The 15,384-nt window shown below is 39.3% G+C and overlaps 1 protein-coding gene across 8 annotated transcripts in view; it reads left to right on the forward strand.

Moving 5' to 3' along the window:
- Positions 1-15,384, forward strand: part of PHACTR2 (phosphatase and actin regulator 2) — a 294,308-nt gene that overhangs the window by 261,996 nt on the left and 16,928 nt on the right. For all 8 annotated transcript variants that reach the window (NR_172204.1, NR_172205.1, NM_001394736.1 and 5 more), the window contains one exon: positions 8,184-8,260. Coding sequence is in view for 6 of the 8 variants with exons in the window: in NM_001394736.1 (NP_001381665.1) it covers positions 8,184-8,260 (77 nt within the window). In the remaining 2 variants the exon portion in view is untranslated. The remainder of the gene's footprint in view (positions 1-8,183; positions 8,261-15,384) is intronic.

A 15,384-nucleotide genomic window follows, 5' to 3' on the forward strand; every position in this document is an offset into this window, starting at 1 on the left:
TTGGTATCAGGATGATGCTGGCCTCATAAAATGAGTTAGGGAGGATTCCCTCTTTTTCTATTGATTGGGATAGTTTCAGAAGGAATGGTACCAGCTCCTCTTTGTACTTCTGGTAGAATTTGGCTGTGAATCCGTCTGGTCCTGGACTCTTTTTGGTTGGTAGACTATTAATTATTGCCTCAATTTCAGAGCTTATTTTGGTCTATTCAGAGATTCAACTTCTTCCTGGTTTAGTCTTGGGAGGGGGTATGTGTCCAGGAATTTATCCATTTCTTCTAGATTTTCTGGTTTATTTGTGTAGAGGTTTTTATAGTATCCTCTGATGGTAGTTTGTGTTTCTGTGGGATCAGTGGTGATATCCCCTTTATCATTTTTTATTGCGTCTATTTGATTCTTCTCTCTTTTCTTCTTTATTAGTCTTGCTGGCAGTCTATCTATTTTGTTAATCTTTTCAAAAAGCCAGTTCCTGGATTCATTGATTTTTTGAAGGGTTTTTTGTGTCTCTATCTTCTTCAGTTCTGCTCTGATCTTAGTTATTTCTTGCCTTCTGCTAGCTTTTGAATGTGTTTGTTCTTGCTTCTCCAGTTCTTTTAATTGTGATGTTAGGGTGTCGATTTTAGATCTCTCTTGCTTTCTCTTGTGGGCATTTAATGCTATAAATTTCCCTCTACACACTGCTTTAGCTGTGTCCCAGAGATTCTGGTACATTGTGTCTTTGTTCTCATTGGTTTCAAAGAACATCTTTATTTCTGCCTTCATTTCGTTATTTATCAAGTAGTCATTCAGGAGCAGGTTGTTCAGTTTCCACGTAGCTGTGCGGTTTTGAGTGAGATTCTTAATCCTGAGTTCTAATTTTATTGCACTGTGGTCTGAGAGACAGTTTGATTTCTGTTCGTTTACATTTGCTGAGGAGTGTTTTACTTCCAATTATGTTGTCAATTTTAGAATAAGTGCAATGTGGTGCTAAGGAGAATGTATATTCTGTTGATTTGGGGTGGAGAATACTGTAGATGTCTATTAGGTCCACTTGGTCCAGAGCTGAGTTCAAGTCCTGGATATCCTTGTTAATTTTCTGTCTTATTGATCTGTCCAGTATTGACAGTGGGGTGTTAAAGTCTCCCATTATTATTGTGTGGGAGTCTAAGTTTCTTTGTAAGTCTCTAAGAACTTGCTTTATGAATCTGGTGCTCGTGTACTGGATGCATATATATTTAGGATAGTTAACTCTTTTTGTTGAATTGATCCCTTCACCATTACGTAATGGCCTTCTTTGTCTCTTTTGATCTTTGTTGGTTTAAAGTCTGTTTTATCAGAGACCAGGATTGCAACCTGTGCTATTTTTTTACTTTCTATTTGCTTGGTAGGTCTTCCTCCATCCCTTTATTTTTTTTATTTTTTATTTTTTTGAGACCGAGTCTGGCTCTGTTGCCCAGGCTGGAGTGCAGTGGTGCAATCTCCGCTCACAGCAAGCTCCGCCTCCCAGGGTCACCCTATTCTCCTGCCTCAGCCTCCTGAGTAGCTGGGACTACAGGTGCCCGCCACCATGCCCAGTTAATTTTTTGTATTTTTAGTAGAGACGGGGTTTCACTGTGTTAGCCAGGATGGTCTCGATCTCCTGACTTCGTGATCTGCCTGCATCGGCCTCCCAAAGTGCTGGGATTACAGGTGTGAGCCACCGCACCCAGCCCATCCCTTTATTTTGAGCCTATGTGTGTCTTTGCATGTGAGATGGGTCTCCTGAATACAGCACACTGATGGGTCTAGACTCTTTATCCAATTTGCCAATCTGTGTCTTTTAATTGGGGCATTTAGCCCATTTACATTTAAGGTTAATATTGTTATGTTTGAATTTGATCCTGTCATTATGATGTTAGCTGGTTATTTTGCCCGTTAGTTGATGCAGTTTCTTCCTAGCATCAGTGGTCTTTACAATTTGGCATGTTTTTGCAGTGGCTGGGACTGGTTGTTCCTTTCCACGTTTAGTGCTTCCTTCAGGAGCTCTTGTAAGGCAGGCCTGGTGATGACAAAATCTCTCAGCATTTGCTTGTGTGGAAAGGATTTTATTTCTCCTTCACTTATGAAGCTTAGTTCAGCTGGATATGAAATTTTGGGTTGAAAATTCTTTTCTTTAAGAATGTTGAATATTGACCCCCACTCTCTTCTGGCTGGTAGGGTATCTGCAGAGAGATCCACTGTTAGTCTGATGGCTTCCCTTTGTGGTTAACCCAACCTTTCTCTCTGGCTGCCCTTAACATTTTTTCCTCCATTTCAACCTTCGTGAATCTGACAGTTATGTGTCTTGGGGTTGCTCTTCTCGGGCAATCTCTTTGTGGTGTATTCTCTGTATTTCCTGAATTTGAATGTTGGCCTCTCTTGCTAGGTTGGGGAAGTTCTCCTGGATAATATCCTGAAGAGTGTTTTTCAACTTGGTTCTATTCTCCCCATCACTTTCAGGTACACCAATCAAACGTAGATTTGGTCTTTTCACATAGTCTCATATTTATTGGAGGCTTTGTTCATTTCTTTTCACTCCTTATTCTCTAATCTTGTCTTCTCACTTTATTTCATTAATTTGATCTTCAATCACTGATATACTTTCTTCCGCTTGATCGAAGTGGCTATTGAGGCTTGTGTATGCTTCACGGAGTTCTCGTACTGTAGTTTTCAGCTCCATCAGGTTATTTAAGCTCTTCTCTACACTGGTTATTCTAGTTAGCCATTCATCTAACCTTTTTTCAACGTTTTTAGCTTCCTTGAAATGGATTAGATCATGCTCCTTTAGCTCGGAGAAGTTTGTTATTACTGACCTTCTGAAGCCTACTCTGTCAACTCATCAAACTCATTCTCCGTCCAGTTTTGTTCCCTTGCTGGCGAGGAGTTGTGATCCTTTGGAGGAGAAGAGGCATTCTGGTTTTTGGAATTTTCAGCCTTTCTGCCTTGGTTTCTCCCCATCTTTGTGGTTTTATTTACCTTTGGTCTTTGATGTTGGTGACCTACAGATGGGGTTTGGGTGTGGATGTCCTTTTTGTTGATGTTGATACTATTCCTTTCTGTTTGCTCATTTTCCTTCTAACAGATAGGCCCCTCAGCTGCAGGTCTGTTGGAGTTTACTGGAGGTCCACTCCAGGGTCTGCATTTTCAACAAATCACCTGTTGCTTCTTCCCGGCATAACGCCTGAGCTGACTGGGACTGATGAAGCAGACCTGTTACCACTCACCACTGGCCAATTTTAAACTTAGTTTCAGACATTTTTGTTTCCTTTTTCCTCTCTATAATTCTCATGATGCCAAAATGACTACATATTTGGTCTCAGTTGCTATCTCATAGAGCTTTGTTGTTGTTGTTGTTTCTACTCTAGAAATACCTAGTTTTGGCTCAATGGCTTCCCATTGGTTGTACAACCCAGCACCATTGGAGCTCTGATCCCCCATAACCTCAGCCCAGCTCTTTCTATCTCATGTCTTTCAACAAAATCAGTCCCAGACTGGGTGTGGTGGCTCATGGCTGTAATCCCAACAATTTGGGTAGGCCAAGGCGGGAGGATTGCTTAAGCCCAGGAGTTCAAGACCAGCCTGGGCAACACAGCAAAACCTCATCTCCACAAATTTTTTTTTTTTTTTAATTAGCCAGATGTGGTGGCCACACACCTATGGTCCCAGCTACTTGGGAGGCTGAGGTGGGAGGGTGTCTTCAGCCTTGGAATTTGAGGCTACAATGAGCTGTGATCACACCACCTGCACTCCAGCCTGGGTGACAGAACAAGACCCTGTCTCAAAAAAAAAAAAAAAAATCAGTCCTAATTACATATATGTGAAGAATTATTAGGCCTAAAACCTGGTCTCCTTTGCAAAGAAGAGAGTTAAGTTTATTATACATGTATTTGTCTAAAGTGTCTGATTTACTTTTTTTCCTGTTTTAAACTCTCTCAGGAAATCTTTCTCTTTATTCCAAGAGGAAGTAGCTCTTGTAATAAAACTATGATCAATCTTCAGTGAATTTTAAAAATAAGCATTCTATTTCTTTAATTGCCTGTAGTCACATCTTTCTGGTATATTTTTTTCAAACAACTAGTCCTTACAATTTCACATCACTTCCATTGCCATATCATTCACATAACTGACTCATCATTTCTAATTGTAAGCCAGCACACACAACATGCAGATCTGAAGCAATTTTCCTGATGACAGGGGCCCAGAAGCTCATATTAATGGAAAGACTGTAGGATGTGAGGTTAAAAGGCTTGTGTATGAGCCCCATGTTTGTCATTTAACCCTCATCCTGTTTAGAGAAAGAAAGTGCACCTCGCTGCCAGTGCTGATTTAATTTTACATAAACACGCTCTTTGAGGCTGAAGCAAATCTGACAGATTTTCAATGTGAAAATAAAATAGAGGCCGATTGCAGTGGCTCACGCCTGTAGTTCCAGCACTTTGGGAGGCCGAAGTGGGGAGATTGCTTGAGCCTAGGAGTTTGAGACCAGCCTGGCCAACATTGCGAAATCCATCTCCACAAAAGATACAAAAAATTAGCCAGGCATGATGGCGCACACCTGTAGGCCCAGCCACTCAGGAGGCTGAGGTGGGAGAATTGTTTGAACCCAGGAGGCAGAGGTTGCAGTGAGCTGAGATCACGCCACTGCACTCCAACCTGAATGACACAGTGAGACCCTGTCTCAAATAAATAAAAATAAATAAATGAATATAAAAACTGTTCTTGGAGTTGTTTCTAAATAGAACATCAAAATCATCTATTTTGGAAAAATCAGATTCATCGAACGATTTTTTGGCCAACAACTGTTTGAGAATGATGTTAACATCACACATAGAAAGGCTGTGTTTTCTAGGATTTGACATTTTCAGCAATAGAGAAATACTGTATTTTGTAAATAGGAATACCACTACTAAAACCATAATGCTATAAATAGAATGATGTCTTTTGTTTCCAAAGTCGATATACTAGAGCGTTGCGAAAATAAAAGCAAGATATTTCATGACAAACTTATCCTGAGGTAAACAACTGCAGCCGTTAGTGTTGCCAGGCAAATATTCTCAGGGCAAACAGGAAAAGGGTTAATGCGCATCTCTCTCTAGCAAGTCATGTGACCTCTCTAGGCCTCCATTGCATCAGCTGTAAGGTAAAAGCCTTGGAATAGTTTTCAGGTTATCAACTGCTTTTTAACAAACCACCCCAGAATTTAGTGGCTTTTAAAACAGCTATTTATTTTGCTCTCAATTCTGAGTTATGAATTTGGGAAGGGCTCGGCCCAGCAGTTTGTTTGGGATCCCTGTGGCATCAGGTGAGATGCTGGGTTAGATAATTCACTTCCAAGACAGCTTCTTCACTAACCGTCGGTGCCTTTTGCTCCTTGGCCTCTCTCTCTCTATCTACCCAGCATCTTAACCTCCAGGGCCTTTCCCTGTATCTTGGGTTTCTCACAGCATGGTTTTCTGAGAGTAGTCACTTTTTTTTACATGGCAGCTGGCTTTAAAGTAGCAAGAAGCAAAAGGTGCCAGGCCAGTTAAGGGCCACATCAGACTGGCACGTATCACCTCTACTGTGTGCATTTGTTGAAAGTGGTTACAGGACTCACCCAGAGTCAAGGCTGGAGAGACAGACTTCACCTCTTGATGGGGGAATAGCAAAGTCACATTGCAGATGAGCCAGTAGGATATGCCTGTAAATAGTAAACTGTCTCTCTTATGCATATGTATATGGTCATCAGTGAATTATAAATTGTATCAATATGATGGATCTATAGCACACAATTTACAATTGTAATGTTTTGTAAATTCCATATCTCAGTTGATGCTCACAGAATGCTTTCATTGATTTTTGCCATACTCTTAGATCAGTAGTAGCCAACCTACTATTGCAAATAAGGACTTTATCTTATTCATGGTTAAGTCAACTTCGGTGGCATTATCTTCTTCCATTCCAGTGGACTCTTCATAAATAAAAGTGAAAGAATTGTGAATCCCAATCACAAACTAGAATAATTTGTTTTTCAAGAGGCTCATAATAATGACATTTTATTGACTCTACAGTGTACAAAGCACTTTCAAATATGCTCTTGATTAATTCTCATGATATTGTGAAGAATTTCCTCCTGGTTTTCCAGATAAGAAAATTGGGGTTTGGAGTGAAGTGACTCACTAAGGGTCACACTGCTAATGAGGGCATAGCCAAGACTAGAATCCCTGCCTTCTGACTCCCAGTGGACCGCTTTTCACTTCCTCTGCTGAAACCTTACATTTGGAGAAGAAATTTAAAATGAACATCAAGACAGGATTCTCTGCCACTATTCAAATTAAAATACCTCCTTTCGGCCGGGCACGGTGGCTCATGCCTGTAATCCCAGCATTTTGGGAGGCCGAGGCGGGCGGATCACAAAGTCAGGAGTTTGAGACCAGCCTGGCCAACATGGTGAAACCTCGTCTCTACTAAAAATACAAAAAATTAGCCAGGCACGGTGGTGCATGCATGTAATCCCAGCTGCTCGGGAGGCTGAGGCAGGAGAATCACTTGAACCTGGGAGGCGGAGGTTGCAGTGAGCCAAGATCGTACCACTGCACTCCAGCCTGGGTGACAAGAGTGAAACTCCGTCTCAAAAAAAAAAAAAAAAAAAAACCTCCTTTCAAGGAAGAACGTTTTATAGATGTTAATTGGCGAGTGGTATAGAGCAGCCTCACTCTTTCTCCTTCTGGTTCTAGGCATCACTTTTTGCAGTAAGCAAAAGTATCCTCACTGTTGATCGGACTAGTGAGACAAACTGGACAGCCATGTCACAGAGGACTCAGGCTCACACATATTTCTCTGCTTGCTTCTTCATTTCCAAAAGTCAGTAGCAAGCATTATTGTCACAGTTCCTAGTCACAGGTTCTCCATAGAAACTACAGGGGCTGAGGAATATATCTGGGGAGAAGAGACAATCTGTGACATGGACTTAAATATAGCATTGAAAGGAGTGTTGAGGGAAAGGCTCGTGTATTGCAGAATGATGGTTAGTTATGAGAGAGAGCTAGAGACAGGCCTCAGGGCTTTTTTTCTGTCTGTTCCCTTTCCTAAAATGTATTATTTTCCAACCACAAAGAAGACTTTTTATCTCCCAGTGAAGTCACTCCCTGTGACTTATCATTCTTAGTTTTGGCTGAAGAGTCCATTTTGCCTAGAGGTTACAGGGGTGTTTTTATTAGCACCTTTTTAAAAACATGAGTAAAACATTCTTTATAGAGAAGTTAGGAAATAAAAATAAGCAAAAATTTGAAACCACGAACCATCTGTAATCCTGCCACTATTTGTTAACAGATAACTAATGTTAACATTTCAGTCTGAATGGCGTAAGCATCCCCTCAAATACCAAAAATTACGTGACACGGATTATGTGTTCTTTAAATAGCAATGCATTCTATTTGATATTTTCTTTGGGTAGCTTTAAGGATTATGCTGAAATTATAAGTTCTATTTCTATAAACTTCCAATATTAAAGAATATATAAGCAACTGCTTTCTCTGTAGCTCTCTGGCAGCTAGTCAAAGCCATGTTGTTGTAGGCAATATTCTATGTAGAACTTTCCATAGGAAAATGGTATTGCTTCTCAGAAAATGTCATGACCTGCACTTTCCTTGTGGTCATCGTGGGTGGGGGATGTTCCGTGTGACTCATAGACCAGACTCAAGGATGAGTTTAGCAAAGGCCCGCTCCCACTCCCTCTTGCCAATGGCACTTGAAGGAAGTCTATCATGGTTTTAGTTTGGCTATAGTATGATATTATATTTATTACACCTTAAAAGAATGTCTAAGCTCAGTATGGTGGCTCATGCCTGTAATTTCAGCACTTTGAGAAACTGAGGTGAGAGGATCACTTGAGCCTAGAAGTTCGAGATCAGCCTGGGCAACATCTTGAGACTGTGTCTCTACCAAAAAAAATTTAAAAATTAGCTGAGCATGGTGGCGCACACCTGTAATCCGAGCTACTGGGAATGCTGAGTTGGGAGGATCACTTGAGCCCAGGAGTTTGAGGCTGCAATGAGCCATGATCTCGCCACTCCACTCCAGCTTGGATGACAGAGCGAGACTCTATCTCTTAAAAAAAAAAAAAAGGTCTGCTTCATTGATGCTGTATATACTGGGGCAATATATGACCTAAATAACAGTTCTGTTTATCTATTTTTTTTCCTGTTTAGGCAGCAATAAGGAAAGAACTAAATGAATTTAAAAGCACAGAAATGGAAGTTCATGAAGAGAGTCGACAGTTTACAAGGTAGGTGACAAAATGCAGCTTAGAAATTGAAAATGCTTAAGATGTGATCCCATGTTGAGTTGGTTAAAAAAAGAAATTGCTTACAATGGTAAATTTTATGATAGGTATATTTCATCACAATTAAAAAATGTTTTTAAACAGTTTAGCTTAAAACCATCTTATGAACATTTCCGCTTCTCTCACATTCATCCTTGTTGGCTTTTAAGAACCTAATAGTCAATGTGACAGTTTTAAAGATATGACTAGATAAGATTGTAAATTTCTAGAATTTCATAATAAACTCAGCTATCTCCTTCAAGAACACTAAAACTAATCATGCTGAATAAGAATTTCTAAAATTAAATCTTTTCTTTCAAGGAAGTCTGAATCATTCCATGGGGCTACATTTTGGTTCCTTTCTTCGTTTTTTTCTGGGTCTGAAGACATCATTTATTCTGCTCTTGAACAGACTTAGTTGAAGTTGTATGCCCAGAATAGATGCTGGCGAGAGTCAGTGTGGGCACATACATAACACTTTGGTTTCACAATAGACATAACACAGGATTGAAGCTGACTTTTCAGAAGATGTAACTTTAGGATGGGAATCCTGATTTTACTGGTGACGAAGGAGATCGCTATCATCTTACCATTTTTCCCTCAGTCCCTTTCGGTTTCTTTCACAGGTTACCTAACCCGGTAACAAATATTGATCCCCTAAGCTACAGCCATACATCCTGGTGCCACTGTTCCTGCAGTCCCGGTGATGATGGTACTGTGTGCTGGGAGCATGTCACAATATAAAGGAAGTTGCTGTATAACCTCCAACTTTAACAGCAAACTTCCCTGAAATTGATGGGGGAGGAGTGAGGTTTGTTATCATAGACTTGCTCCACAGCTTTTCTTCCTATCTTACTGTCTTGTGTGCCAGAGAAACTCCCCTTTCTTTCAGGGTTACAGTTGGCCTTCCATATCTATGGGTTCCCCATCTGTGGAGTCAACTGACCACAATCCAAAATTTTTTTTTTTTTTTTTTTTGAGACAGAGTCTTGCTCTGTCACCCAGGCTGGGGTGCAGTGATGCAATCTCAGCTTACTGCAACCTCCACCTCCCGGGTTCAAGCGATTCTCCTGTGTCAGCCTCCAAGTAGCTGGGATTACAGGCATGTGCCACCATACCTGGCTAATTTTTGTATTAATAGCAGAGACAGGGTTTCACCATGTTGGTCCAGCTGGTCTCAAACTCCTAACCTAGAGTGATCCGCCCACCTCAGCCTCTCAGAATGCTGGGATTACAGGCATAAGCCACCACACCCAGCCCAAAATATTTTTTAAAACAAATATAAAATAACACCACAACAATAAAAATAACACAGAGCATAAAACGATACTGTATAATAGCTATTTATACAGCATTTACATTGTATTAGGTAGTATAAGTAATCTAAAGATTATTTAAAGTATACAAGAGGATGGGTGTAGGTTGTATGTAAATTCTACACCATTTTCTATCAGGGACTTGAGGAATCCATGGATTTTGGTATCTGAAGGGGTCCTGGAATGAATCCCCTGCAGACACCAAGAGCTGAATGTACTTCTTCTTTATTTTTTTATTTCCTCCTATATCATTTGTTTTTATATACATGTAGAGCGTTCCAACATCCTGAATGGATTTTTATCTATTTGAGGGCTTTATTCTATCATAATCTACTCTGAGACCAACAACATGTCCCTATCAAGCCAGACATTTTTGTCCCCCTCTTTTCTCCCTTCCACTTCTAGGGTCGGGAAAAATGTATGCTAAAATGTGACACCTGTAGTTGCTCTTCTGAAGTAAAGTTGATTATTAAAAGGTGGAATATTTTGAGTGACATCATGCTGGCTGGGGCCTCCGGGCAACTGGGAAGATAGAGTGCTTGGTGCAGTTGGGTCCTGATCCCTGAGCTGCAGTGACTGCACTCAACCCATACATTATCATTCGGGATAGTTTTGCTTCTGCATAGTTTTCCTAGAAGTTGGAGTATCTGATAGCCTTATCTTCATTTGATAGCATGATATAAAGAACAAATTACAGTCAAAAGGAATCAAATTTTAAAAGTACATTTTTATGGAAGTTCTCATTTTATGAAAAATAAATATTTATACTAAAAGAGGTTCTTTCTGTTCTGTTGTACTCTATATGAAGAAGCACAATAAAATTGGAGTACAGGGAGAAGTAAGGGTCATTTTGTTTTTGTGGGGGTATTTTTTGTTTTTTTGTTTGTTTGTTTGTTTGTTTTTTTAGTAGAGATGAGGTCTTGCTATGTTGCCCAGGCTGGTCTTGAAGTCCTGAGCTCAAGCGATCCTCCCAGCTCAGTCTACCAAAGTGTTGTGATTAAAGGCATGAGCCACTGCACCTGGCTTCTTTTTTATATATGTATTTGTATGTACAAAAATAATATATTCTAATTAAGCATTCAAGCAATACAAAATTCTATTAAGTATAAATGAAAAACCTTCACTCCTTTCCCAACCTCATTTCTGTTCTCACAGGTATCCACTAGTAAAAGCTTGATGTAGATCCTTTTAGATGTTTTTCCATGCATTTATAAATGTGTGTATGTGTGTATATATATATATATATTAAATATGTGTATGTACATGTATGCATTTATATGTACCCTCTCTCACACATAAACACAGCATCTAAGAAATCTTTCTATAATAATATATATCTCATTCAGCTGGATGCAGTGGCTCAGGCCTGTAATCCCGGCACTTGGGGAGGCCGAGGTGGGCAGATCTTTTGAGCTCAGGAGTTCGAGACCAGCCTGGACAACATAGCAAACCCTGTCTCTACTAAAAATACAAAAATTAGCTGAGCGTAGTGGCTCACAGCTGTAGTCCCAGCTACTTGGTAGGCTGAGGTGGGAGGATCACTTGATCCCAGGAGGCAGAGGTGGCAGTGAGCCCAGATCACACCACTGCACTCCAGCCTAGGCAACAGAAAGAAATCCTGTCTCGAAAAAAAAATTATGTATATATTTGTGTATATATATATTTCATTTGAATGACTGACATTTCATAGATAATATGCCAAAAAGTTATTGAACAATTACACTATTGATGGATGTTTATGGAGTTTTCAGTTTTTCATTATTAAAACAATGTTGCCTTGACTTTCTTTATGCATATATCTTTGTGCACACATGCCAGTATTTCTGTGGTAGTCCCATAAGTGGATTTGCTAGGTTTCTGGGCATATACATTTTGCATTTTGGAATAAACTATTCCATTATCCTCCAAAAAGAGCACTTAGTTTACAGATCTACAGTTTAAGAGCATGCCTAGTCTACTCACTACTCATGTGGTCGAGAGGTTTATATTCTAAAGGATGAACAATAATACCCCATTTCATTGATTTCTATTAGATTGGGCATCTTAACATACCTTTATTGATCACTTATTTTTTATTATTTGATTTGACTATCCAAAACTTCTGACCAGCTGAGGCAGGAGGATTGCTTAGCCCAGGAGTTCTCTACCAGCCTGGTCAACATAGTGAGACCCCATCTCTAGAAAAAAATTTTAAAAATTAGCTTAGCATGGTGGCACTTGCATGTAGTCTCAGCTACTTGGGTGGCTGAGGTGAGAGAATCGCCTGAGCCCAGGAAATGGAGGCTGCAGTGAGGCATGGCTACACCACTGCACTCCAGCCTGGGTGACAAAGTGAGACCCTGTCTCAAAAAAAAAAAAAATTATGTGATCAATTTTTTGGGTAGTTGTTTGTCTTTTATATGGATTGGTAACATCTTCTTAGATATCATGGATATCAGCCCTTTATTGCCTATGTTGCAATATTTTTTCCAATTTATTGTTAACTTTTAAACTTTTTAATGGTATTTTGTTTAAATTTTTGTATATTCAAATCTATCTGTATTGTTATGTTTTACTTCATTGTTTTGTGTCTTATGGACGGAGGCCAAGAGTATAAAACTATTATTTTTACCTGTTATCTATGCTTTGGAGAGGTGCATTTATTTGTGTGTATGATTCAGAAAGTAAACTAACTTTACTTTTTTCTAAATCAGTAGTTGATTCTCTCAATGCCACTTTTTTCCCTGTGGATGTGAAATTCTCTTTTAATATACACATCGGTCAATTTCTGGATTGCTTATTATGTTCTAATGAGCTGTTTGTCTATCCATGTCTATATCCTACTGTTTAATTTGGATAGATTTGTAGTGTACTTTTATATTTGATGGGGCATTTTTTCACCCTCAAAATTCTATTGGCTATTTTTTTTATTTACTCATCTAGAGAAATTTAGTATATGCTTCTTGTATTTCATAAAAGTCTATTGATATTTTTATTGCTTATGTAAATATAAACAGATGCAAATATATAAGCTTTCAGGGAGAGTAACAGCTAATATCAAGGGTAAATTTTAAAAGTTCTCCAAAACATAAATTGATTAACACTCTTTAATACCTTTCCAGATAAGGAAAAATTAAATATTCATATCACCAAAATAAATATGCCTTGCTTAAGTATTCTTAAACCTTGGCAGTAAAGCAAATGTTACTGCTATTTTTCCATTAACTTATGACATCATTCGAGATATATTCCAGTAGGGATATAGTTTGTCTCCAAGACATAAAAATAATGCTTATGATTTTCAAGCTGTTTTCAGTAATTCTTTTAAGGGGAAAAAGTTCTGGTAATCACTACTCTTTCTAATAAAAATAATACAAAAACATGATCCAGTTTTACATTTAGCAAATTGTTCATAAAAAAGGTGGTGGTACTCTTAGTACCAGCCTCTCTTGGGGAAAATAAACACCTTATGAATCATTACCTTGCCCTTTCAATGCAACCTAGATACACAGCAGCTCTCCTTTCCTCTTATTAGCATGAGACATTGTCTCCTTATACCAAGTAAGGCTTCCCTTCAAAACCTCAATCTGTGAACTCCTTGCAGATTTGGGGTGGTTAATAAATGGGCTGACTCCTCTTCTCGGGCACCTCTTTATCTAGAGGCCATTTCCAACCCAGTGATGTACTGGTGTACAATGGAAGGACCCACTTCTGTATATAGCTTCCTTTGCTTCTCTATCTCCGGAGAGAGACACAAGCTGGTGGCCAAGGGCAGGCATGGGAGGGAGACTTCTCACAACTCACCCTTTTGAACCTTTTGAATTTTTGAAACATTATGAATGTATTACCTAGTCAAAAACAAACATTTAAAAGAAAAAATAAAGAATCCATTCTCTAAGTCCTTGTTTCTGTAAATGAAGATTACGTCGTGGTGGCTTTTCTTGACTAATGTGTTGGCACTAATATTAATTGTGACACTTCCACGTCTTGTGCACTGAGGGGGTACCTCTGATACTTCTGTCATGGAATACATTCCATGACATATTTGGTCTGTAGTGATGAAGAACTGTGGTGCTCTACTCTTTCATCTAATTCTCCCAGTTTCTCCCAGTATTTTCCAGATGGTGCCCTGGAATTGGAATGGATGCTAGGGCAAGAAAGGTAGGGACAAATGGTCCCCACAAGAAGTCATCCCGTGGCCCTATAGGTACCAAGCCCTAACCTCAGTTGCTTAGACCTTGCTGCTTGTCTGGCCACATTCTGCATTTTCTACCCCTCAACAGTGCCCACTCAGCCCACTGTTCAAAACCAAAAAGTCCATTTGAGGGTGATAGATCATTAGATAGTATCATTGCATTCTCGAAGGAGACCAACATGGCAAACAAAAGCCACTTCCTTTTCCATAGTAAATGGAATTTCTACAATATAAAATAACTCTCTAAATTCTAAAGATAAATTGCATGAAAGGTCAAATTTTACTTAAGTTCTAAACTGTAAAGTAGTTACAGCTGAGCAGTAAGATTTTGAGTAATTTTAATTTTCCTTTGGATATTTATTCTCTGTTTTCCCAACAGAGAAAGTGTTAACATGTATCAGATTTGTTATCAAGAGAGAATATCGCTTTTTAAAAATAAACTTCTCATTTTGTAAATGATGACATTTTTGGAGTATACAAAGTAGTTTCATATTTGTATCAGCTTGTAAATTATTTACTTCTTATATTAAGGAGTCTTACTGAAGACTCATAGAATCATTGAATTGAGGCTCTTAGAGTTAAAATGAGCCGCAAGAGATCATTGGCATAATGTCAAGTGGGAAAGTCAGGATATTGACTAACTGTAGCAGCAGTATATTTTATTTAAAATTCAGATGCAGCCGGGTGCGGTGGCTCACGCCTGTAATCCCAGCACTTTGGGAGGCTGAGGTCGGTGGATCACGAGGTCAGGAGATTGAGATCATCCTGGCTAACACGGTGAAACCCCATCTCTACTAAAAATACAAAAAATTAGCTGGCGTGGTGGTGGGCGCCTGTAGTGCCAGCTACTCCAGAGGCTGAGGCGGGAGAATGCCGTGAACCCGGGAGGCGGAGCTTGCAGTGAGCCGAGATCGCGCCACTGCACTCCAGCCTGGGCAACAGAGCGAGACTCCGCCTCAAAAAAAAAAAAAAAAAAAAAAAATTCAGATGCCTGGAAATAAAGATTAGGAAATAACTTCAAAAATTCTTAGTGCTTTATTATAGAGTGGGGTTATAGTAATCTTTTTTTCTTTTATCTACTTTTCAAATTTTCTTAATGGTAAGAAGTTTTTCTTCATGTTGAGAAGTTTCTTAATGTTGAGAAGTTTTCTCATGTTGAGACTGAGATATTCACATACAGTGACCCTTGAACAACCTGGGTGTTAGGGGCACTGATCCCCACTCACAGTCAAAAATACACGTATAACTTTTGATTCTCCCAAAACGTAACTACTAAAACCTACTGGTGACTGGAATCCTTACTGATAACATAGTCAATCAACACATATTTTGTATGTTACATGTGTTATGTACTATGTTCTTACCAGTAAAGTAGGCTACAGGAAAGAAAATGTTACTTTAAAAATCATAAGGAGGCCAGGCACAGTGGCTCATGCCTGTAATCCCAGTACTTTGGGGGGCCGTGGCCAGAGGATCACATGAGGTCAGGAGTTCGAGACGAGCTTGGCCAACATGGAGAATCCCTGTCTCTACTAACAATACAAAAATTAGCTGGGTGTGGTGGTACACATCTGTAATCCCAGCTACTTGGTAGGCTG

The sequence above is a fragment of the Homo sapiens genome, chromosome 6, assembly GCF_000001405.40.
Source record: "Homo sapiens chromosome 6, GRCh38.p14 Primary Assembly".
Lineage (NCBI taxonomy): Eukaryota > Metazoa > Chordata > Mammalia > Primates > Hominidae > Homo > Homo sapiens.